We start from the raw sequence: 26858 nt of genomic DNA on the forward strand, positions 1-26858 counted from the left end.
AGGACTGGACATTGCTCTGGGTAAGTCGGTGAGAGAGCGGTGAGTGACTGTGAAGGCCTAGGACATTATTGTGCACTACTGTATATTTTATAAGCAGGGTACTCTTAGGCTACAGTAAATTTATAAAAATATTTTTCTCTCTTCATTAATAAACTAATCTTCTAACCTTAGCTTATTGAATTTTTTTTTTTTTTGAGACAGAGTCTCCCTCTCTCTCCCAGGCTGCAGTGCAAAACGGTGCGGTCTCACATCACTGCAGCCTCCACCTCTCAGGTTCCAGTGATTCTCCTGTCTCAGCTTCCCAAGTAGCTGAGATTACAGGCGCATGCCACCATTCTAGGCTAATTTTTTGTGTATTTTAGAAGAGATGGAGTTTCACCATGATGCCCAGGCTGGTCTTGAACTTCTGAGCTCAGGCAATCCGCCCTCCTAGGCCTCCCAAAGTGCTGGGATTACAGGTGTGAGCCACCGCGTCTGGCCTGAAAGTTTTAAACATTATAAACTTCATATTTTTTAAACTTTTGACTTTTGTAATAATATTTAGTTTAAAACAAACAAATTGTGTAGCTATACAAAATATTTTTCTTTCTTTATATCCTTATTCTTTAAGCTTTTCATGTTATCAATTTTTAAAATGTTTTACTTTTTAAACATTAGTTTGTCATTAATGCATCGCTCTAAAATATGACTATGACAACCCTAGGCAATAGCAATTTTTCAGCTCCTTTATAATCTTATAGGACCACTGTTGTATATATAGTTCAGTGTTGACCAAAATGTTTTTATGTGATTCAAGACTTTATTTGTTGAAGGTTTTTTTTCTTCTTATCACTAAGATCAGTGAAGCAGTTCATTATGCTCAGACTGTAACACAACAAAATATAGATGATTATTTAAATATCTAATTTAATGAATGAGTACATTTTGAATGTTAAAAAATGAAAATTACATCTCTAACGCATTAATCTTCCAATAGATTATTTTTCATGATTTACAATCTGTGGAGGCATCACACAAGTATCTTGTCTTCTGAATTTCAATCATTTCTGAATTAGTCACTTTAACTAAGATAAAACATAAGACGATTCATACTACTTTGTTCAAATTCTCCACTGGCTTCCCATCTCACTCAGAGTACAAGCCAACAGTCTCACAATATGGCCCTTGGTTACTGTCTCTCTGATCTTGCCTCTCTCTTCCTCATTCCATCCTTTACAGTCCTAAAACGCACCAGTCACCCTTTTCTCTCAGACTACTTAGAGCTGCTTTTCTGCTTTCCTGGAATGTCCCAGAAATTTGTATGTTTCTGTGCTTCATCAAGTTCATTACTCAAATTGTGATCTTCTCTGTATTACCTTTCCTTGCCATGTGAGCTAATAATGCAATCTTGATCTCACAACTCATTTGGATATGAACTTTTGGAATTCTGTATATTGGTGTGCAGGGATGTGTTGGCATGTGTATATTTGCAAGCTTTTTGTTTCAGAATGATGGCATAAGACACGAATATATCACTATGTGGCTCAATGTGAATAGTGTAACTGGTGCATTTTTATTTTATATTTTTGGGTAAAATACCATGCCTCAAAAAAATGATAGAAAAACATACACTAGAGGATTAGCACCAATTAGAAAATGTGTTATTTAATAAATTGATGAAAAATATGGAAAAATAGAAAGGTGCTCTGAGGTAGTAGTCATCTTTTAAATATTCTTTAGATTGTAAGTGTAATCAGTAGCATAATTAATGAATTATAAATTTTTATAAATATATTCTTCATATTTTAATATCTTTGACAAATAACTATGTTTTAGAATAGGTTTTCAGTCTTGACTAAATGCAAAGAAAATTGTTCTATGACTTATTGTAGTCTTTTCCATCAGTATAATTGTGTGAAGTACTATTCTTTGGAGGACGTATAAGAAAATAAGCAAAAGATTAGCAGCAAATTCTAGCATAAGTGGATTAGCCATCTGAGCAGTCTTGAAGGTAATCCTTTTTATTTGGGAGAAAAACATCTAATTGGAGAATTTATACATCTGTGGTATTAGCTTTATTAACAAAAGAAAATTGATAAAAGCAACGAGTCTCAATTCCATTTCTGGAATATTAACATTATTTCAGTATTTGGGCTTGAAAGTTATCCTTGTAACTATGTGTGAAGTCTTAAAATTAATCACACGATTGTTTGTATGTACAGAACAATTGCTGGCCCTTTATCTCAACTATAATTTACTGGAAGTTTATGAATCTCATGTTTAAATTCAGAGTAAAATTTAATCCTAACCAATATACAAATTTATCAGCTCCATAATTTAAATGGTTGCTTTTTTACCTTTATTCTTTAAAGAACAATTGTCCCTGCTGGGCTCCAAACTGGTATAAGGAGATAATGTAATGAGGCTTTTATGATCTTCTGATGTAGATAAGGGAACCTAAGGCCTCTTTCTGGTCCTTAGGTGTGGGTGATGTGATAATGTTTGAGACATGAACTTCTCAGGACATTGTGCTGCCATTCAAGGTTGGTATGTGGGACTACTGTTAAAGGAACTCCTTGAGCTTGATAGATAGAGCCTGTTGGCAGCTCGTTGGAAGGCATGGCCTTTCTTTAGCTCTAATGAAACACTATCATGTTCTCTATGCATCCCTTTGGTCTATGATATTCACTCATGTACATTTCCTTAGTAGACTTTCTAGACCTAAATGCAGCAATCTGAGTAAGTTTTTAACACATAATTTAAGGATAGTGCAACTACATTCAACACATTTTCATCCCAACATGTCATCTTCTTATCTCTACAATAGATTCAAGGGAATCCATATTGCCTTGAGTTGACCAGGAACCAAAGTCTTCTGAGTACCAAGACACATACAAATGGATTTATACCTTTTTCTCCTACTCAAAATTTCAGATAAAAAAGGAAGAAATATTATCTTATATCTTCCTTCCTTACCACTCAAGCTCTTTGGTTAATCCTTTCAGACACATTAATTTATTTATATTAAAGAACTCATCATTTATTTTTCCAATTGTGTATCAAGCTTTACTAAAGCAGCACATACATATTAAAACACATTGTCTTTGTTTAGGGATAGATTTTTTTCAGGTCAAATATCTTTCTAAAGACATTGAAATTCCACGTTCTTAAGCTTTTGGGTGATAATATTTATGATTTCACCTCAGTACTGAAAGAGCACAAAGAAACATCAAGAGTTAGATTAAACTGCATCCATGTAATTTTTTTTAGTACTTTCTCTAGTATAAATCTTGCTGACTCTACAAAGTCTAGCTTCAGAAATTATAGACCCCCAATAAAGTGGGAGCTAGATCTTTATTCCGAACTAATTTGCATCCCTGAGGCACTTCATGTTTTTCTTGATCAAACTGGTTACTGAGTTTTACCTTATATCTAGTCAGATCCTCAGAATAATGTTTTTTTAAAATAAAGGTCATAATCCATTTTATTTGTCATTAAATTAAATTTATGTGATTCAGTTGAAAGAAAAAGAGAAAGGAAAGAAAGAAGTAAAGAAGGAAGGAAAAAGAAAGAAAGAAAGAAAGAAAGGAGAGAAAGAAAAGAGAAAGACAGGGAGGACAGTAAATATAAAGAGAAAAAAGAGGAAGAAATGAAGAAAGGGAAAGAAAGAAAAAAAGGAGAAAAAGAAGGGAAGAAAGCTGGAATAATGAAAAAGGAAAAATAGAGGAAAGAATAAAATAAAATAGAAATGCGATGAGTAACATAATTTTTTTGTTTCAGTCATATACATATTTCTGAGTGAAATTTTATAGTGTGTGTGTGTGTGTGTGTGTGTGTGTGTGTGTGTATCATGAATAATAAGCATGACATTATGAGGGATTTTAGTTAAAACCAGAAGTATAGATTTATGAGTCAGTATCTCAGTACCAATCTCTTTCCTCGTTCCCCTTAGGTTGTGCTTTTCATTTCTGTCCTACAGTCTGATTAGAAAGGGATGCATACCATCTGGTTGAGATTACAAGAAACAGCATGGTATCATCTTCTGACTGCCTGGAATCTCTCAAAGTAACTTTGCCTAGTGGATGATTAATTTGTAGTCTCTTTCTGTCTCTCACGATTGATTTCCTTTTTCAATGCACTGTCTATATACAGTTCACAGCTCATTTTAGCCTGAAACACCACTATTGGAATTGGGTCTTCCTCATTAATAAGTTATGGCCAAGATATATTTGTATGACATCAAACCCACCAAACAGGAAACTACTTCAATCCAACCCAGATATAATACTAGCCTATCATTATTTTTCATCTCAGTATAACATGCAATTTATGTATACCTATTAGTCATCAGGGACCTGGTTTCCTCATCATTATATTAAGGGGCTTAAATTATCTTAAACTCTATTATAGTTTACCTTGTTTCTCAACTAACCAATAGTAACAAGAATCCAAAATTCCACAGTGGTAGATTTCCATCTTACCCCACCCCACCCACACAAAATATTTAGATTTGTGTGCTTAACATAGGTTACTTTGATAGATGAAGCAATTATATTTGGTAGTAAAGGCAAATAGTTTGTTGGTGATTGATAGAATAAGAAGAATGCTGTGGCAAGTAACAGAGATAATCAGGTAATAGCAAAGCAGAGGGTCTGAGGCCAGAAGAGTTAATAATTTCAAAGTGGGTCAGGATGGGGGAGGGCAAGATGGCCGACTAGAGTCAGATACGTGGAAGAGCTTTCACAGAGGGACTGAGATGACAGGTGTGCTTTTAAAAGCTCTTCAAAGGAAAGAAGCCAAGAGTCGACAGAATAAGACAGAAGTTGAGCTCAAGGGGGAAAAATCTGGGAACTCTGCAGGGGCTATTGAGCACTGGGACTCATTTTTGAACCACAACAGCTCCAGGGGAATGGGTGAGTTGAACTGGCAAGGAGCAACCTGCTTTCGCCATGGGCCTTTGGATCCCTGGCAGGAGGGGATCCCTCAAACACCAAGGACACATGAATTGGCAAGGGGAGCTGCATAGAGAAGTTCTGGGGCAGCAAGCCAGCTGATATGGAGCACAGATGATTTGGTGTGGGTGTGTCTGTAGTGCAACACCAGGAATGGCCATCCTTCTAGGCTCAACTTGCTCCCATAAGAGACTTTAGCCCTAGAGTAACAGTCAAACCTGATCTCTGCAGGGTGGCCTTGCACATCAGATGGGGCTGGTCTCACCTAAACACTCCTTAGTCTGCTGACCTCTTCCAGGCCACAGCCTGGCCACACGTGCTTATAGGGCAGTCTCAGATGTTCTGAGGGCCCTCAGTATAGCTTCAGCACCTGTGGATCATGCCTGGGGAGAGCTCCAGTGAGGCAGTCCCTGGAACCACATACCAGCCTGCACATTCCCTCTCCATACTGTACAACAACTACACCCATCACTTTGCTGGCCTGCATCTGCGTGGGTGGGTTTTTCTTTTCTTGCCCTGTAAGTATTCAGAAGTGTAGTCTACCCACCCCCAACTGCCATTGCGGATGAAGCCTTGGTGGGCGGAGAGCTAGCAAGCCCCACCTCCACCAGCATCTGACCCTTATGCTAATGCTACACAGAGAACAAGGGATCCTCTCACACACTGTGTGATTACTCTAGTTTGTGGGGCACAGAGAAGGCACCCAGATTTATGCTGCCTAGCACATCAACCCAAGCCAACTCTACCTCCAGTGCAACAGTGCACACAATCTCTAGCAGGGACCCCCTGCTCCCACCCCCCAATCATCCGTTTTGCCTCCCCCACTGTGGTGAGTGCCCAGAAGGAGGCAGGAACCCCTGCATCCACTAGCACTCTACTGCAGCTGCCTCACCTCAGCAACGCCAGCACAATGGACTCCAAACCTTGAGGAGCCAGAGAAAAACATGGGAGTCAAGTACAAGTTCCTCAAAGAGCACTCAGTCCAGGAGTTGGGAACTGAGAGTTGGCCCTCTAAAATTTCCCAGAAATGAAGCCAGTTGACTGAATCTACCTTATACCACAGTCAAACCCTCCAGGTCATCAAATAGGATAAAAGAAAATAAAAAACATCCAAACGTCAACAGCCCCAAAGATTGAAGGTAGATAAGCCCATAAATATTATAGTCAGTGCAAGAATGCTGAATCCAAAAAGCCAGAATGCCTTATTTCCTTCAAACGACCACATCACCTCACCAGCAACAGGTTGAGACTGGGCTGAGGCTGAGATGGCTGAAATGAGAGATGTAGAATTCAGAATATAGACAAAAACAAAGTTCACCGTGTTGTAGGAGTATGTTGAAACCCAATGCAAGGAAAATAAAAATCATGATACATTGCAGGAGCTGACAGACAAAATAGCCAGTACAGAGAAGAATGTAACTAATCTGAAAGAGCTAAAAAACACACTACAAAAATTTCATAATTCAGTCACAAGCATTAACAGTAGAATAGACCAAGTGGAAGAAAGAATCTCAGAGCTTAAAGACTGCCTTTCTAAAATAAGACAGGCAGACTAGAATAAAGAATACAGAATGAAAGAAAATGAATAATACATTAGGATTATGTCAAGAGACAATATATGACTGATTGGTGTACCTGAAAAAGATGGGGAAAACAGAACCAACTTGAAAAATATATTTCAGGCTATCATCCATGAGAATGTCCCCAAGTTGGCTAGAAAGCTAACATTGAATTTCAGGAAATGCAGAAAACCCCAGTCAGATACTTCACAAGGAGATCATCCCCAACACACATAATCAGCAGATTCCCCAAGGTCAAAATGAAAGAAATAATGTTAAGGGCAGTTAGAGAGAAAGGTCAGATTGTGTACAAAAGTAAGCCCATCAGACTAACAGCAGACTTCTCAGCTGAAACCCTAAAAGCCAGAAGATATTCGGTGCCAATGTACAACATTCTTAAAGAAAAAAAGTCCATCCCAGAATTTCATATCTGGCCAAGCTAAGCTTCCTAAGTGATGAAGAAATTAGATCCTTTCACATAAGCAAATGCCGAGGGAATTTGTTACCTCCAGACCTGTCTTACAAGAGCTCCCTAAAGAAGTATTCAATATGGAAAGGAAAGATCATTACCAGCCAGTATAAAACCACAGAAGTGTACAGAACAGTATACAGAACAGTAAAGCAACCACATAAACAATTCTTCAAATAACCAGCTAACATCATGATGACAGGATAAAACCCACACGTATCAATACTAACCTTAAATGTAAATGGGCTAAATGCCCCAATTAAAAGACACAGAGTGACAAGTTGGATAAGGAACTAAGAGCCATTGATATGCTGTCTTCAAGAGACCCATCTCACATGCAATGATACACATAGGCTCAAAATAAAGGGATGAAGAAAAATCTACCAAGTAAATGGGAAACAGGAAAAAAGCAGGAGTTGAAGTACTAGTTTCTGACAGAACAGACTTTAAACCAACAAAGATTAAAAAAGACAAAGAAGATTGTTACATAATGAAAAAGTGTTCCATTCAGCAAGAAGACCTAACTATACTAAATATATATTAACTCTTTCTATAATAAGGCAGGCAGACAAGAATAAAGAAAAAAATGAAAGGAAATGGATAAAACGTTTAAGAAATATGGGATTATGTAAAGAGACTGAATCTATGACTGATTGGTGTACCTGAAAGACATGGGGAAAATGGAACCAACTTGGAAAACATATTTCAGGATATCATCCATAGGAACTTTCACAACCTAGCTAGAAAGGCCAAAATTGAAGTTCAGGAAATGCAGAAAACCCCAGTCAGCACCCAGATTCATAAAGCTAGTTCTTGAAGAACTTCAAAGAGACTTAGACTCCCTCAGAATAAGAGTCAGAGACTTTAACACCCTAATGACCATATTATACAGATTATCGAGACAGAAAATTAACAAAGATATTTAGGACCTGAACTCAGCATTGGATCAAATGGACCTGATGCATAGCTATAAAACTCTCCACCCAAAACCAACAGAATATATTTTTTTTATTACTACATGGCACATCTACCATTGACCAGATAATCAGAAGTAAAGCCCTCCTCAGCAAATTTGAAATAACTAAAATAACAAAAAACAGTCTACACAGTGCAATCAAATTAGAGCTGAAGACTAAGAAATTCACTAGAAACCATACATTTACATGGAAACTGATTATCCTGCTGCTGAGTGACTTTTGGGTAAATAATGAAATTAAGGCAGGAATTACGAAGTTCTTTCAACTAATGAGAGCAAAGATACAACATACCAGAATCTCTGGGACACAGCTAAAGCAGTTGTATGAGGAACATTTATAGCCCTAAATGCCCAAATCAAAAAGTTAGGAAGATCTCAAGTTTGCAACCTAACATCACAACTAAAAGAATCAGAGAACCAAGAGCAAACAAATCCCAAAGTTAGCAGAAGACAAGAAATAACCAAAATTGGAACTGAACTGAAGTATATTGAGACATGAAAAATCATTCTGAAGATCAACCAATCCAAGAGCTGTGTTTTGGAAAATAAATAAATAAACCTCAACCTAGACTAGTGAAGAAATAAAGGAGAAGATTTAAATAAACACAATGAGAAACATCAAGGAGGATATTACCACTGACCCTACAAAAATACAAGCAACCATCAGAAAATATTATGAACAACTCTGTGCACATAAACTAGAAAATCTATAACAAGTGGATATATTTCTGGACACATACACTCTCCCAGAACTGAAACAGGAAGGAAATAATTGAACCATGAACAGAACAAGCTCTGAGATAACAAGCTCTGAGACTGAGGCAGTGATAATTATCCTACCAACCACAAAACTCCCAACCACAAAACTCCACAGGACCAGGTGAATTCAGAGCTGAGTTCTAGCAGATATACATTCCTACTGAAGTTATTCCCCAAAAAAATTGAGGAGGAGGGACTCCTCCCTAACTCATTCTACAGGGTGAGCATCTTCCTGATACCAAAACCTGGCAGAGGTACAACAGAAAAAGAAAACATCAAGGCAATATTGATGATGAACATCAGTGCAAAAATCCTCTATGAAATACTGGCAAGCTGAATCCAGCAGCACATCAACAAGCTTATCCAATGCAATAAAGTAGCCTTCATCCCCAGGATGCAACATCCACAAACCAGTAAATGTGATTCATCACATAAACAAAACTAAAGACAAAAATCACATTATTATCTCAATAGATTCAGAGAAAGCTTTCAATAAAATTCAACATCTATTCATATTAAAATCTCTCAATAAACTAGGTATTGAAGAAACATACCTCAAAATAATAGGAGCCATCTATGACAAATCCACAGTCAACGCCATATGGAATAACAAAAGCTGGAACCATTCCCCTTGAAAAATGGCACAAGACAAGGATATCCTCTCTCACCACTCCTATGTAACATACTATTGGAAGTCCTGGCCAGGGCAATTAAGCAAGACAAAGAAATAAAGACATCCAGATGGAAAGACAAACTTTCAAACTATCCCTGTTTGCAGATGACATGACCCTATATCTAGAAAACCCCATAATCTTAGTCCTAAAGCATCTTAAGCTGATCATAAACTTCAGTAATGTCTCAGGATACAAAATTAATGCATAAAAATCACTAGCATTCCTATATAACAACAACAGTCAAGCCAAGAGGAAAATCAGGAACATACCCCCATCTACAACTGCCACAAAAAGAATAAAATACCTACAAATACAGCTAACCAGGCAGGTGAAAGATCTCCACAAGGAGGACTACAAAGCACTGTTCAGAGAAATCAGAGATGACACAAACAAATGGAGAAACTTTGCATACTCATGGATAGGAAGAATCAATATCATTAAAATGACCATAATGCCCAAAGCAATCTGTAGATTCAATGCTATTCCTATTAAAACACCATTGAGATTCTTTGCAGAACTAGAAAAAAACTATTTTAAAATTCATATAAAACCAAAAAAGAGACTACATAATCAAGGCAATCTTAAGCAAAAAACATAAAGCTGGAGGCATCACACGACTTGACTTCAAACTATACTACAGTGCTACAGTAACCAAAATAGGATGGTACTGGCACAAGAACAGACACGTAAGACCAATAGAACAAAATAGAGAACCCAGAAATAAGACTGCATACCTACAACCATCTGTTCTTTGACAAATCTGACAAAAACAATTGACGAAGAAAGGATTCTCTATTCAATAAATGGTGCTGGGATAACTGGCTAGCCATATGCAGAAGACTGAAACTGGACCCCTTTCTTATAGCATATACAAAAATTAACTCAAGATGGATTAAAGACTTAAATTTAACACCCAAGACTACAAAAACCCTGGAAGACAACCTAAGTAATACCATTCAGGACAAAGGAAGGAACAAAGATTTCATGATGAAGATGCCAAAGGCAATTTTGACAAAAGTAGAAATTGAAAAATGGGATCTAATTGAACTAAAGAGCTTCTGCACAGCAAAATAAACTGTCAATGGAGTAAACAGAATGGGAGAAAGTTTTTCAAACTATGGATCTGACAAAATTCTGATATCCACGTCTGTAAGAAACATAAACAAATTTACAAGAATAAAACAAACAAACCCATAAAAAAGTGGGCAAAGAACATGTACAGACACTTTTCAAAAGAAGAGCTACATACAGCCAACAATCATATAAAAAAAGCCCAACATCACTGATCATTAGAGAAATGCAAATCAAAACTACGAGATACCATCTCACACCAGAATAGCTATTATTAAAAGTCAAAAAATAACGTGCTGGTGAGATTTGGGGAAAAAAGGGAACACTTTTACACCGTTGGTGGGAGTGTAAATTAGTTAAAACATTTTGAAGGATAGTGTCTTGATTCTTCAAAGGCCTAAAGGCAGAAATGCCATTCGGTCCAGGAATCCCATTACTGGCTATACATCCAATGGAATAAAAATCATTCTATTATAAAGACATATGCATACATATGTTTCTGGAGGCATTATTCACAATAGCAAAGACATAGAATCAACCTAAATGTCCATCAATGATAAACTGGGAAAAGAACATTTGGTACATATATTCCATGGAATACTATGAAGCCATAAAAAAGAACAAGAATATGTCCTTTTCAGAGACATGGATGGAGCTGGAGGCCATTATTCTTAGCAAACTAATGCATAAACAGACAACCAAAGACTGCATGTTATCATTTATAAGTGGAAGCTAAATGATAAGAACAAATGGACACAAATAAGGGAACAACACACACTGGGCCTATTGGAGGGTGGAGAATGGAAGGAGACAGAAAATTAGGAAAATAACTAATAGGTACTAGACTTAATATCTGGGTGATGAAATAATCTGTACAACAGACCTCCATGAAACATGTTTATGTAACAAACTTGCACATGTACTACTGAACTTAAAAGTTAAAAAACAGAAACTAGTTCAGGTAAAAAGAAACATTAAGCAGTAATGAACAACAAGTTAAAGAACATTAATACCAGAGAAAAAGGCAAAATGTTTTTCTCTGACTGACATCATAGTTTTCAATTTGTTGAGGCATATTTAGAGACAATCACAGTATGCATAATAAAATAAAATTTACAGTTATTGAGTGCTATGTGTTAGGGGAAGAGTGGTATATTCTTACATATAGTACAGAATTTATTTCACACTATGTGCAGTAATTATTTTCTCATTACAGATGAATATACTGGAGTCAAGAACTTTCTCAAGTCCAGTTCTAGAATCTTTTTCTGTTAGCCAAAAGCAACGCTAAATGCATAACCTCTTCCTCCCCAAAATTTACTCCACTTATTCTGTTCTCTTCTCCTACACTTTCTTATCTACTTTAATGGTAGGAAAAGGGGAATATTAATTAATCACACACCAGTAGTCAAAGCCCTTTATTATTTGTTTTTATGATTATTCATTAATATAGGGCCCTCTCATTTGATTTTTTTTTTTTTTTACTTCATCCTGGATCTCTTTCTCTGTCCACAATCCAGATATCTATTTTACTGTGTTTAATATATGTTTTTAGAAATGTATGTATATTTTTAAATACTTAGTATTTTTTCATTTGTGTTTGAGTGTTTATGTAAATTGTTGACTGCATTAATTTTCAGTAACTGTTTAGACCAACAAGAGCTAATGTCATCTTTGACTCTACCTGATCTCTTAGCCCATACTTTTGTGTGTGTGTGTGTGTATGTGTGTGTGTGTGTGTGTGACAGAGTTTCGCTCTTGACCAGGCTGGAGTGCAATGGCGGGATCTCAACTCACTGCAACTTCCACCTCCCGGGTTCACACAATTCTCCTGCCTCAGCCTCCCAAGTAGCTGGGATTACAGGCATGTGCCACCACGCCTGGCTAATTTTTTGTATTTTTAGTAGAGACAGGGTTTCATCATGTTGGCCAGCCTGGTCTCAAACTCCTGACATCATATGATCCAGCTGCCTTGGCCTCCCAAAGTGCTGGGACTATAGGCATGGACCACCGCACCCAATCAGCCCATACTTTCTATTCCTGTCAATTCAGTCCTCAATATCCCTGACAATTATTCCATTTTCTCTGTTTTAAGTGCTGTGCTGCAGATCTGGTCGTCATTATTTTTTGTAATAATCTTGTAATTACTGTGATGTTAGAATTAACTCCTTCTCCAATCTTATTTCTGCTTTCCATTTGGGCTCATTGTCTAAATAAATGACTCACTTAGATTTGATTCTGTACAGCAAATCCTAACTTGGAAATTTGTCTGCAAACCATTCACTGAGAATGTGCTCTCTGGAGAAGAAACATGATGAATACAAAATAGGTTGAGAGACAAGGGCTGAACCAGGATGTGCTCTCAGCTCCAGCCTACATTCCAACTGATTCCCAGGGGTGTGCTACAGCATGAACTTCTCCACAGGGTTAGTTCCCCCCTCAGACAAGCCTTGTATATTTCTATCTTAGTCAGTCGTTGTGGTTGTTCAGTCTCATAGGGAGTAAGGAGAGTGAGGACCTGGTAAGCAGATCGTCATGGCTGAGGGAGTTTCTCTGAAGATTGGCCACGGGGAGCCATGTGTGGCTAACAAAGCAACAGCAGCAGCAGTACTAGGAAGGAAAAAATTTCACTACTCAGAAACAGCTATCTGGGCAGTGTATCAACCACAGCCACTACAGCATCCAAGTGATTTTCTAAAACCCTTTAGCTCCCCTAATTACAATCCATCAGTAGTTTCCTACAGGCTACAACATTAATTCCAAATTATTTATGATTGCATACTTTTTTCCCTTTCATTGTATCCATCCTTACAATCTACACATATAGATGTATTTGTAGTTTTTAAAGCACCGTCTTCTACGTATATTTTGTATACTTTTTGGACAGATGGCTTTATCTTCAAAGAACTGTATTTGAAGATTTGAACACCTAATGACCTAGTTAATTTCAGCTTTTTAAATCTAGCTAAGATTTGACTTCCTCCTACATACCTAACCATATTCCCAAAGTCCTAACCTCTGCCTTAATCCTGCTCTTTCTATAAGCTCCTCTAGCATTTATAATTCTGTTATAAGTATCTGCTTACCATTCTCTCATCTCAGTAAGCAATTATTTCCTTATGATCAGAAGCTGTGATTTTTAATCTTTTTATTATACATCTTGACACATAATATTCAATATACCTTTTCTTAAATAAATGCATTAATGAGGTTTATGGATTAAAATGCTCAAATTAAAAACCAAATAAAGAAAAAAGTAGAATGCATTCCCATGCTATGAACTCAGTTTCATCAGATTCTCACATGTACAACCAACTTTTATTTAAAAACAAAAAGGTCTCGGGATTCTTACACTATGGTATCTGAAATTAGGTGACTCTTAATTTATTGGCAATATAATATTATCTCATGAATGTGTATTCAGACACATCATATATATAAAGTGGAAGATACCTAAATATGTGTTTGTGTCTCTAGGGCGTCCTCCTGGATCACATGCAGTTCAACACGGCTGGAATGCTTATTCCATGATTGTTTGATTTTTCTCCAATAATAAATTAAATTTCTAAATAGTACTAGTTCAGCATTATGCTACAATCAATTATAGCTACTATTATGGTTGTTTGCACATGAATGGCCCCACATTTATTCATCTAGCTTTTAATTGTGCTTGTTTCCACACTTCTAGCCTATAGTCCACTGAAGGAGCAACAGGTAAACTAGTTAACTTTCCTGCAGTTATTGTCATACTTTTTTCCATTATATACATTGTATACAACATGCATATCAATATAAATTTTCAGAGATTCTCACTCAAAATCACTATGAAGTATATGTATATATGTATATTCATGTATATACATATGGATATATGGATATATGGATATGTAATATCCAGCATGGCTATGAGGATAGCATATAGCTCTTCATGTAAGAAAACTGATACCCTTCAGTTAGATGCAGTTAATATTTTTACCCTAGTCTTCTACGGAATATCTCATTTTTCACTCAAGCTCTCTGCCATTATCTGATCCTTTTCTCTTTTTCAAATTAGCCCAAGTTAAAACGATCATTTTCTTACATTGGTGCTTAGATACTAACTTCATTTTCTGTGTCTGCAGTTACTCACTCATCGAACACAAATGTAGAGACTTCATCAACTGTACCTCTATAGTTCTGTACTGTATAGAACTGCATCTCTCTCTTTCTATAAATCTATAGCTCCTGCTTTTGATAGAAAAAGAATAACATATAACATCTAAGTTGAATTCTACCAGAGCAAGTCTTCTCCACTTTTCAAAATTGATTCTAAGTAACTTCCTAGGTTTATACTTCCAGACGTGCCTCTAGCTTTAGCACCCTGAGGTTTCTCTTTTTAACAGTTTCATCTCCAGTAGGACTGCACAACATAGAAAGGCTTTTGGTATCAAAGTGTTGATAGAAGCTTGAATCTGGTTCAGTACAGGTCACAAGGATAAATGGAGAGTAACCCAGAGATGAGCTTAGCACTAATTAGTGACAGGAGAAGCTGGATAATATTACTTCTTCTGTATGAACATCTGTTTTGTTCAATTGACTACATTACGTGGACATGCTCTTTAATTCCTACAGTTAATATTATGAAACAAGTAGTATTTCCATTTCACAGATGAGGTTTAGCAAGGTTAAACAATTTGTTCATGAACCTGAAGCCTATAAATGACAGGGAATGATCAGCCTCATCCCATCCTTGTAAGTAGGCATTTAAACTGAATTTCTGTGACTAGTTTCCCTAAATCTCTTTAGTCTATTTACCAGGTACTGATATCTTGCCCACTATGTGCCAGTCACTGTTCTAACAGCTTTAAAATATTGAAAGTATTTACTCATAACAGCCATCTAAGTGATACATTATTAACCTCATTGTAAAGAACAGGAAACTAGGACCAGAAATATTTAGTAAATTGTCCAAGATCATGCAGCTTTTAAATGCTGTATTAATTAATTTATTTATTTATTTATTTTTGAGACGGAGTCTCGCTCTGTCGCCGGGGCTGGAGTGCAGTGGCGCGATCTCCGGCTCACTGCAAGCTCCGCCTCCCGAGTTCACGCCATTCTCCTGCCTCAGCCTCCCGAGTAGCTGGGACTACAGGCGCCCGCCACCACGCCCGGCTAATTTTTTGTATTTTCAGTAGAGACAGGGTTTCACCGTGTTAACCAGGATGGTCGCAATCCCCTGACCTAGTGATCCGCCCATCTCAGCCTCCCAAAGTGCTGGGATTACAGGCGTGAGCCACCGCGCCTGGCCTTAAATGCTGTTTTTAAATACACAGACACATGAAAGTAAATATTAATGTTTAGCTAAACATTACACTGTTTTAATAAAGTCATTGCATTTTTCAAAATTTAGTTTTGTTTTAAAATAGATTGATATTCAGCAGTAGACGTTTTTGTTTCAAGTCTGGTTATCAATTGTCCACGCCTGGAAGATATTTACCTTTTAAGCCTTGGTCACTCTAACTGCCACTATCACTATTTCCTTTTGGCAGCTATTAGACTTTCAGGCTGAGAAACTTGGGATTAATAACAGTTTCTAGGAGACGTACATTAGAGATCCAATATATTTCATTGATGACACACGCCCTACTTCCTCAATAACCTTCACTCTAGCCAAGGCTGTCTGTGACTGGAAGAAAGAAATACTTTGCAGCATCTCTAGAACTGCAGGCTGCTGACAAGGACCATTAACTAATTTAGATTTAAGTGTCTGTGGAATTGCTGGCTAGAACTACTACAGCAATGCCATGGGGTAATAAAGGTTTACTTCTATCAGGGAGTCTCCAGAGCTGCCTGTGTCTCATATTTCTTCTTACTGAAGCTAATGCACTGGAAACTTTGTGTGGTGTGTGTGTTTGTTTATAGGAACACATGACATGGTTTGAATAAAATGTAGATTTGATAGTATGCAATTAGGTGAACAATTTATTACATGTATGGCATTAAACAGATCAGAAAGAGTGTGTTATTATTGGTTACATGGGTCCTCTATGATGTTATTTGGTGTGATGCTCTTCACATGAATTGCTCTGACAGTTTTTATGTCTTGTCATTGCATGCTGATGGCAGTGTGCAAATAGGTTTGCCACATAGGAATTACCTGTCCCACAAGTTCATTTTCAACGGCATTCTAAAGATCAACCATCCTTGCAGGAGTTAAGAAAGATTTACAGAATCACTGCAATGCAAATCCTTAGAAAGAAAGGCATAAAAAAACTGACAGCATTGTATAGAAGAGAATATAAAGAAATTCACTATTTTTAAAGTTTCATATTTTAAAAAATATAACTGCTATACAATAAAAATGTAGAAATTAAATTTCCATAAAATCAAATTTTAATGTTTTTCTCCCCACATGTTGAACAGAAGCTACTGATAAATCTTTGTAAGGAGTCTATGCTGGAACTAACAAATAATTGACATTTGTTTAAATGGTGAAATCACCAACACATTCCTTAATATACAAAGAAGTGGTTTACATTTAAAATTATCTGAATGTAGATTACAAAAGAAAAACCTAGAAATTCTCCATTTCTGATATCCACATTTGTTTGGTCATAGAGAACTAAAAAAATTGCTGAAAGAAATACTAGCATCTCATAATATTTTGGTTGAATATATATATATACACGAATGTGTGGGAACATGTACATATATACATATATGTATAGCACAAATTTTTAATGTTTAATTTTGTGCGTATGAGGCAAATCTCATATGGTGTTTCAAAAATAGCTGGACTATTTCCAGAAAAATAAATTTTAGGTGTGCATAAAGAAGAAAACCTCTCAAAAGTCATTGCCTGATTTGTTTCTCTTGGGACAACTGGGGTAATTATATATTTTCTATTACTTCGTGGCTGCCCATGGCATTTTACTATATATCATTGTATGTGCCACAAGGATAAAGCAATATTTATTATTAAATTCCTACTATTTTATTTATGAAAATTTATGGGGTACATAAGAAATGTTTTATATATACAATGTGCAGTGATCAAATCAGGGACCCAATTACAATACATTTTTAAAGTATAGTCATCCTACTTTGCTATCAAACATTGAATTTATTTATTCTATCTTACTGCATGTTTTTACCCTTTAATCCAGCAGTTCCCTACCTTTTTGGCACCAGAGACAAGTTTGTGGAAGACAATTTATCCATAGATGGAGGTTGGGGGTCACGGTTTCAGGACGTTCCATGCACATTATACTTATCGTGCACTCAATTTCTATTATCATTACATTGTAATATATAATGAAATGACAATACAACTCACAATAATGTAGAATCAGTGGGAACCCTGAGCTTGTTTTCCTGCAACTAGATGGTCCCATCTGGGGGTGATGGGAGACAGTGACAGATCATCAGGCATTAGATTCTCATAAGGAGCATGTAACCCAGATTTCTTGCATGCACACTTCACAACAGCATTTGAACTCCTATGAGAATATAATCCTGCTGCTGATCTGACAAGAGGTGGAGCTCAGGCAGCAATATGAGCGATGAAGAGTTGCCGGAAATACACATGAGGCTTTGCTCACTTGCTCGCCACTCATCTCCTGCTGCACAGCCTGGTTCCTAACAGGCCACGGATGGGTACCAGTCTGGGGCCCCAATGTTGGGGATTCCAACTTTAACTCACTTCTCTTCATTCTTTCCCCTCCCCACTCTCCCTTCTCAGTCTCTATTATCTATTTTTCCTTTATCATCTCCATTTGTTCAAATATTTTAGCTCCACATATGAGTGAGAACCTGTGACAGTTGTCTTTTTGTGCCTGACCTAAAGATCAGGTAAAGAAAGGAAATGTAGTGAAAGGAATAATCTAATTCCATTCTAAGAGGCCTAAAAATAGAAATGCTGAGCCTTGAAATATAAACGATTAAAGTCAATTTGGGATATAAGATTACTAGCTTAAACATTTATTAATTAATAGTTTGTTAGTTTTTGAGGGCAGTGGCTTGTTAAAGCAAACTAAATATGGCCTGACAAGGACTCTGTACTTCTATATTTGAGTTCTTGTGGATGCACTGTAACCTAACTTAATAGTCAGACAAAATTCAAAACCTAACTAATAGTATGCGTCTGTAACAATGGCTGAGAGTTGGCCAATCCCAGCAGCCATACTTCAACCATTCATAGACTGCTAAATGTTCAAACTGCGTTCAGATAAGGCAAACATTGAGCTGTAACCAATCTCACTGTTTCTGTACCTCACTTCTGATTCCTGTATGTCACTTTACCTTTTTTGTCTATAAATTTGTTCTGACCATGAGGCACCCCCTAGAGCCTCTGTGAATTTTCTGTGATTCTGGGGGCTGCCCTATTTACAAATCATTCATTGCTCAATTAAACTTCTTTTTTTTTGTTTTGTTTTGTTTCGTTTTTGAGACGGAGTTTCACTCTGTCACCCAGGCTGGAGTGCAGTGGCGCGATCTCGGCTCAATGCAAGCTCGGCCTCCCAGGTTCACACCATTCTCCTGCCTCAGCCTCCTGAGTAGCTGGGACTACAGGTGCCCGCCACCATGCCTGGCTAATTTTTTTTTTTTTTTTTTTAAGTAGAGACAGGGTTTCACCGTGTTAGCCAGGATGGTCTCGATCTCCTGACCTCATGATCCACCCACCTCAGCCTCCCAAAGTGCTGGGATTACAGGCGTGAGCCACGGCGCCCAGCCAATTAAACTTCTTTAAATTTAACTCAGCTGAAATTTTTCTTTTATCAGATGGTGTCAGAAGCGGATCCGAAGTGGAACTTTTAGTGACCCTCAGGAGCACTGAATGAACATGCAAGGAACCTGCAGGACCCACTTGTGTCCATTGATCTCTGGGAGCAGCTGGGATAAGCTCCTTTTCGGATTTCAGAGCTCCATGGACTTGTGTCTTGAGATCCCTGAGTTTCTTTGAGCAAATTTCTGATCCAAAATGGGTTTGGCATCATGGCAGAAACAGGACTGGGTCCACGAATGGATTTGATCCAGGAATGAACTGGCTTGGATCCAGTCAGAGGTCTCTTACATCTGACTGGGTCAGAAAGGAACTGGTAGTAAGCAGTAATATTGCAGAGGTTATAACATTTGGCTTTTAAAAAATAACAGGAATTTTTGTGTTCTACCTCCTATGTTAAATTTTTCTTGTATACTTAGGTAGAAAAAAGTCATTGGCTAAGTTAATCAAGAGAACCTGAGAGTAAAGCCAATATTTTAGGTAAAAATGAGATCCTTAATTTCTGGGAAACTGAGTTCATTCTGGTTTATACTTTAAGCCTGGGAGGCAGCGAAGTCTTGCGGCAAAATCTTACAAAAGATAACTTACAGGGGAACGCTGCAAATGAACAACAATGCATTGAAGTAAATTTAAAAATGATGGTTCTCGGTAAATTCCCATTGGCTAAGAATGGATTTGGCACTTCGGGATGTCAACTGCTATTCTCTTTGGAATAATCTGTCTTGCACTCTTTGATGACGACTATGGGTGACAGGATTAGGGATTTACAGGATCCTGGGACATGGGGAGCTTATTCCTCCCTAAAAGGGGAAACTTGAGAGATGAGGAGACTGCTGGAAAAGAGCCCTTTGCTACCAAGAAGCAACCACCTGAACTTCTCAGTGTTGCTTCAATGTGTGGGTCTTTCTCTGGCCTCCCTGATCATTTCGCCTTCCCCAACCTCCCACAGACTATGCTTTCCTCTCTCTCCTTTCCCTTTCTTATCTTTTCTCTTACTCAGAGGGACCATCTTGCCCAGAGACCACGTGTTGAAACTCCTACTCAGAGGTTGGATTAAAGATGACAGGACCCATCTGAGGGCAAATTTAAGCCTTGCCAATTTGATATTGGGTGCTAAGCAGAGTAGCTAATATCTATGTTTTATCACACGTATTTTGCTCTGGCCAGACTGAAAAAAGATAATTTTTCTTTATGATGCATCTTGGTCCCAGCAGGATGGTGTGGCAAGCTGAGTCACTAAGGCTGCTCAGGGAAAGGGAACCCAGAATCTTGGCATGCCGGCAAAAGGGTAAGAATTTCTTACAAGTCAGGTTTCTGGCTTTTCTCTTTCTGTGCAAGCAGTTGAATGAATGGTAAAAATCACTCTTTATCTCTTCTGTAAAGATTCGATTAATGAGAAAAAGAATTCTGAGGCTAGCCTTAAACTGATGTATTTGTGCTATGAATTTGTTTTTCTGTGTCAAGGAGTACCTTAGGATAAAACATGGACTTAGGTCCCCATAAGCTGGCTGCTCAAGATGGTCCAGCAAGCTGATCAATAACAAACTTTCCCACAGGTCCCTAAAACAAACAAAAAAACTGAATGGGGTCTCCATCTTGATTTATGTCCTTGGGAGCTTGACCTTGTAACCATGTGGCAGTACTTTCTCTTGGTCTCCACCTTCCAGGGAAGAGGAATTTTAGGATTTATGTCATAGTTAGCTCTAAAAATTATCTTTAGTGGTTAAAAGCGTTTGCAAGCTCAAAATTAACTACTCTAGATTCCTTCTGGGAAGAGCAGTGGAGATTGCCCTGTGCTGCTGTAGCTCAGTAGCGAAGGTTTTGCCCTTTCACACTTGCAGTCTGTGTTTGATTCCCTGCTTAGGAAGAAAGTTGTTTTTGGTTTAATATTTGCATGATCTTGTCTAGTCTTTTCTTCTCCAAGGGCTATCTTAAATTTTCCTTTCTCTGAGCACCTGAAAGGTTACCTTTGGTAAAGCTCAAAAGCCAGAAATATTGGCCATTTGACCATTTAAACAAAATTTTAAAAGGACTTTATTAGAGTGCTGCTGTTAAAAGTCAGCTTAATTAAAAGAGGATATTCAAGCTCTAACAGCCTGGACTTCTTGGGAAAACAATGAGGCAGCAGAAACCCCTTTCCTGACCTTGTTCTTCCAAGAACTCCACCACAAAGCCAATAACCAATTAAGAAACTTAAAAACTGGCAAATGAAAAATCTTACAATTACTGTAGTAATCTTCTGTCTGTCTGTGTAATTATATATGCATTGTGTATAATATTTATATAAAATAGCCCTAATTAATTGGCTTAAACAAAAATAAGTGCTTAAATCAAATATTTTAAAAGCAAAATGAAAACTGTAATGCTGCCGGGCGCAGTGGCTTACGCCTGTAATCCCAGCACTTTGGGAGTCCGAGGCGGGAAGATCACCTGAGGTTGGGAGTTTGAGACCAGCCTGGCCAACATGGGGAAACCCCGTCTCTACTAAAAATACAAAAAATAAATTAGCCACACATGGTGGTGGGCACCTGTAATCCCAGCTACTCAGGAGGCTGAGGCAGGATAATCCCTTGAACCAGGGAGGCAGAGGTTGCAATCAGCTGTGATCATGCCATTGCACTCCAGCCTGGGCAACAAGAGCAAAACTCCGTCTAAAAAAAAAAGAAAGAAAATTGTTCAATTTATTTTGGAGACATTAAATTCTAAATAAGACTTGGGGAGATATGGAATTAGCCATGCCCCCTTCCTATGCAAGAAAGGTTATAAAGTAAAACATGTCATATATGGTCTGTGTATGTCATGAAAGAATGTATTAAAAGAAACTTACACCAGAAATGTTGTACAATTTAAAGGTGGCTAGGCCTCCTAAATGCTTCATAAAATGTCACTATGACTCTTAACAGTACAGCTTGCCTGATTTACAGCTAGGTAAGTCCTAGGACATGTGAAGTTAGAGGCTGGAAAGAGTCAGACCTTATCTGCATTTCTGTCTGGGTCCTAGGCGCCACACCTAATACATAATTAAAATCCCTTACTTATCAAGGTTTTCACCAAAAGTAAAAGTCACTAAGAGTTAACATTGTAATATGTAATTGAGACTACTGAAAAAATATGTTTATATACAAGATGTGTAAGGAGAATAAAATGTGTTTTTGTAAGAGATTATATGAAGGTATGGGAATGTAAATTTTTGCCTAGGTTAGAGGGTTAAAAGATTATTTTATATTAAATAAAGCTAAAGGTTTGAACAAGTTGTGGAAGGTTTATAAAAATTAATTGTAAAAGATTCTATGTGTGAACATATTGCCAAAAGTTAAAATGGCATTATTCAAGGGTTTTTTTTTCCATAAATAAGACATTGAAATAAAAGCACAACGAAATATTCTTAGAACATTGTTCTGCTCTGAGAAAAAAAGAAATTGTAAGGGGTTATAAAAGGTTTATGAAAATCTTACCTTATGGTCGAGTTAATTAAAACTGAATAGATTTATAAAATGTTACCAAAAACTAGATTTAACATTAAAAATACACAAATGGAAACATAAAATTTGGCTTTCTCTTTTAAAAACATGTAATATTAAAAGATAATGAAAGGTTTTTGTTTACCTTTTAAGTAAATTACAAAACAAAAAGAGGGGCAGGGAAAGAAAGGAGACAGAGTCAGTTGACCTATGCTCTCTTAATTGAGTCTTGTTTGGAAAGCTGAGTCTCCTCCTTATCCGAATAATGCTTTCTCCTTTTAAAAATTTTCGAGTTATTATTATGGCTAAATGAAAAGCTTATGGTAACCTAAGATTCTATTTTGTAATATCCAATGTTTTAAACCTTTGTCTTAAGCCCATGGTTCACTGAGGACAACTCCTTTGCAATCTAGAACCCAAAGATTGGATCTTCTGAGAACATCAGAGAAAGACTGTCCTTGCCATCCACACTACAGCAAAGCTTTGGAGCCTTGAACCTTGGGTTCATGATCTTACAACTGAGAAGGGCCCCTCCACACTCCTGAACTGTACAACCATTGAAACTCTTAAGGTAAAATTAACTAGGAAAGTTTATCTCCTTAAGAAGATGGCATCCTTGATGTGAACAGCTTTTCCCAAGATCCTGGATCAAAACGTCTACTATCACGAGACTCTTATATTTGAATATATTTTCCGGTTTATGCCTTTAGGAACAATTGAAATGAAAGGGGGATCTATTATGTGCACTTATAGGGTATACTTTTATTTGTGAAGGATTTTGCATCCAGCCTTATATGAATAACCTTGTACTTTAATAGATAAAAGATGAAGGCTCAATGTAGGTGAGAAAATGTAGTGGTACATATGTTGCCTCATAATCAGTCAAAACTCTTCTTAACCCACATAATGGATTAAAGAGAATATTGCCAGGAGGCCTTCGCTTTTCTAAAATGACATCATTTGTTAGGTCCTTTTTCCATAGTTTAGTATAAAAGAGGCAATAATTAGAAATGTCACCCTCATAATAGGCTCTACAGCAAATTCTACTTTAAAGGCTATTGTTACACAACAGACTTTAAATTATCTTGTAAAAGTTATGCTAAATAATAGAATTGGCCAAACAGAAAAGTACCTGTGCAGTTGCTGACACCTGTGGCCTATGGAGAAATACATCAAATGTAGATTATACAATTTCAGTTGTAGGGGATTAATGAAAAGACCACCTAGTCAAGCAAGTAGGCTCTTCATATAGCTCATTCTTTAATCTATTTAATTTTACATGGTTTGGTTTATGGGGACCCTGGGTAAGGAGCACACTCCAAATTTGTTATTATTCTCCCAGTACTCATAATGATAGTCTCCCTGATGTGCTATATTCTCTTAAAGGTTTTAAATGTTTGCATGCAGCCATCTCTAGAACATCAAATGGTCTCTATTCAACCAGAATGACAAAAGCTGAAAGAAATGTGTGACCCTGAGGATATCGTAACCTACGAATGATGTGCTGAGACTGGAAACCCTAAATGATGTTACTGAGAATGGCACTAAGGCCTTAAGTTTTGGTCACACTGTCACCTAAGTGAGAACCTGGCTGAAAAGGGAGAATTTTTAAACAACAAAATTAGAGGAAGCCACTATTTTGGACTGAGCTCATGCACTAGGCCCCAACAAACGAAACCAAGCTAAAATGGAGTCACTCATCCTAAATGTGACATAATCAAACCAAGGCTTTAAGAACACAGATAGATGCTAGAACAGACTACATTTTGTTTTTCTCCTGTAAACAGGATGTCTATCATAAGGAGGTACCGTCTACTCAGTCCTTATTCTCTCCTTGCAAAACCCACTTTTCTACTGTTTCCCAGTGGGTTTCAAACCATATAATACATTTATGATAGTGATATTAACATCAATGACTAAGGTTTTGGTCAATCTCTCAAAATTGAGAAAATGACCAAAAGAGGGAAATGATTGCTAAAGCAAACTAAATATGGCCTGGGAAGAACTCCATAGTCTTATATTTGAGTTCTTGCAGATGAACTGTAACTTAGCTTAATAGTCAGACAAAACTGAAAACCTAACTTAATAGTATGCGTCTGTAACAATGGCTGAGTGTTCGCTAATCCCAGCGGCCATACTTCAACCACTCATAGACTGCTGAAAGTTCAAAGTGCATTCAAATAAGGCAAAAACGGAGCTTAACCAGCCTCACTGTTTCTGTATCTCACTTCCGATTCCTGTATGTCACTTTACCTTTTTTGTCTATAAATGTGTTCTGACCACGAGGCACCCCAGGTCTCTGTGAATCTGTTGTAATTCTGGAGGTGCCTGATTCGCCAATCATTCATTGCTCAATTAAACTCCTTTAAATTTAACTCAGCTGGACTTTTCCTTTTATCAGGTTGAATTTTACATATCTACTTTAGATTTTAATTTCTTCTATAAATTAAAATCTAATCTTCCATAATTTCTGATAAAATGTTTGTTAAATGAACTCAATGCATTGGACAAAAATTTCCTGTTGCTTTTCTTTCAAAGTACATAAATTGATGCTACTTTTTCCACCTTTCTCACATTTTCTCTGTCCCAATCTTACACTGGAGGTTCAATAGTCTTCTTCATGCCTCAAGTTCTTTCTCTTGTAATATGAAAGGCATGTGGCCACTTTCCTTTTCTAATTCTTTCATAAATCTAAACATTTTCACTACCTATTGGTTACTATGCTCACCATCTGGGTGAAGGCATCATTTGTACACAAAATCTATAAAATATACTATTTACTTATGTAAAAAACCTAAACATGTACCTGCTGAACCTAAAATAAAAGTTGAAAAAGAAAAATAAATAAATAATACCTTCCCAGAATATTGCCTATAGGAACAAGTCTAAATTCCTTAATACAGAGTAAAATGGTAATAAAATTCTTGCCCTGATTTTCTTTCTTAGGCCTATGTCATTTCAACACTCCCCATCACCATTCTTCCCCAATCTCTTCCATTTTTTGAGTCTAAAATCCTTAATACATTGAATTTTTGTTCAATATTTGTTATATGCCCAAAACTATGCTAAGCTGCTGGACTCGTGCTCTTTCACAATTCCTTTTCTGTTCCTTTCAGACTAGTGAAATGATACTGATTTTTAATGATCTGTCTTTTCTTGGAAATTTCCTATTTCCAAATGTCAAAAAAAGAACTTATAATTTTTGTCTCTCCATTTCCATAACACTTATCAATGTCACTGACATAGCCCTAATAATTATGAGATGTACATTGTTAGTTACACACATTTCTTGTTTTCCTACTTTTGATGTCTTTAAGGTCAGAGATTGTATTTTACTCGTTTGTATTCCTATCAGAAAAAAAACTGTGGCTTACATGTAATATACATTCAGTAATTGTTTGAATGAAAAATGTATTAAAATAGTATGAGTATCCAAGTTGGTGATTCAATTTAGTTAATCTCTTCTGATACCCCTACCCCAAAAAGGCATATGTAAAAGTGCATAAAATTGTGTGTATGAATATGTAGATCAATAGATAGAAGCATCTGTGAACACAAATAAGAAATTTAGGAAATGATTATCTTAGAAACTCTTTAGCATCAAATCTTATTTATTTATTTATTTATTTGCTATAGCTTTTGGGGAAAAGTTGGATTTTTGTTACATGGATAAGTTCTCTTGTAGTAATTCCTGAGATTTTGGTGCACACTGTACCCAATCTGTATTCTTTATTCCTCACCCCTCTCCCCGCATTCCCCTTGAGTCTCTGAAGTCCCTTATATCATTCTTACGCCTTTGCAGCCTCATAACTTAGCTCCCACTTATAAGTGAGATCATACAAAATTTGGTTTTCCATTCCTGAGTTACTTCACTTAGAATAACTGTTTCCAGCTCCATCCAGGTTGCTGAAAATGCCATTATTTCATTCATTTTTATGGCTGAGTAGTATTCCATGGTGTATATATGCCACCTTTTCTTTATTTACTCTTTGGCCAGTGGACATTTAGGCTGATTTCATATTTTTGCAATTGTGAATTTTGCTACTATACACATGTATGTGCAAGTGTATTTTTCATACAATGACTTCTTTTCCTCTGGGTAGAGACCCAGTAGTGCGATTGCTGGATGAAATGCTAGTTCTACTTCTAGTTATTTAAGGAATCTCCATACTGTTTTCCATATGGGTGGTACTAGTT

The 26858-nt window shown here is 36.9% G+C and overlaps 1 long non-coding RNA gene across 5 annotated transcripts in view; it reads left to right on the forward strand.

Annotated features, from left to right (window-relative positions):
* LOC105377188 (uncharacterized) overlaps positions 1 to 26097 on the forward strand; it is a 98853-nt gene extending 72756 nt beyond the window's left edge. For all 5 annotated transcript variants that reach the window (XR_007096264.1, XR_007096266.1, XR_001740800.2 and 2 more), the window contains 2 exons: positions 19200 to 20488; positions 23038 to 26097. This is a non-coding gene — a long non-coding RNA (uncharacterized LOC105377188). The remainder of the gene's footprint in view (positions 1 to 19199; positions 20489 to 23037) is intronic.
* The last annotated feature ends 761 nt before the right edge of the window (positions 26098 to 26858 follow it).

The sequence above is a fragment of the Homo sapiens genome, chromosome 3, assembly GCF_000001405.40.
Source record: "Homo sapiens chromosome 3, GRCh38.p14 Primary Assembly".
NCBI lineage: Eukaryota > Metazoa > Chordata > Mammalia > Primates > Hominidae > Homo > Homo sapiens.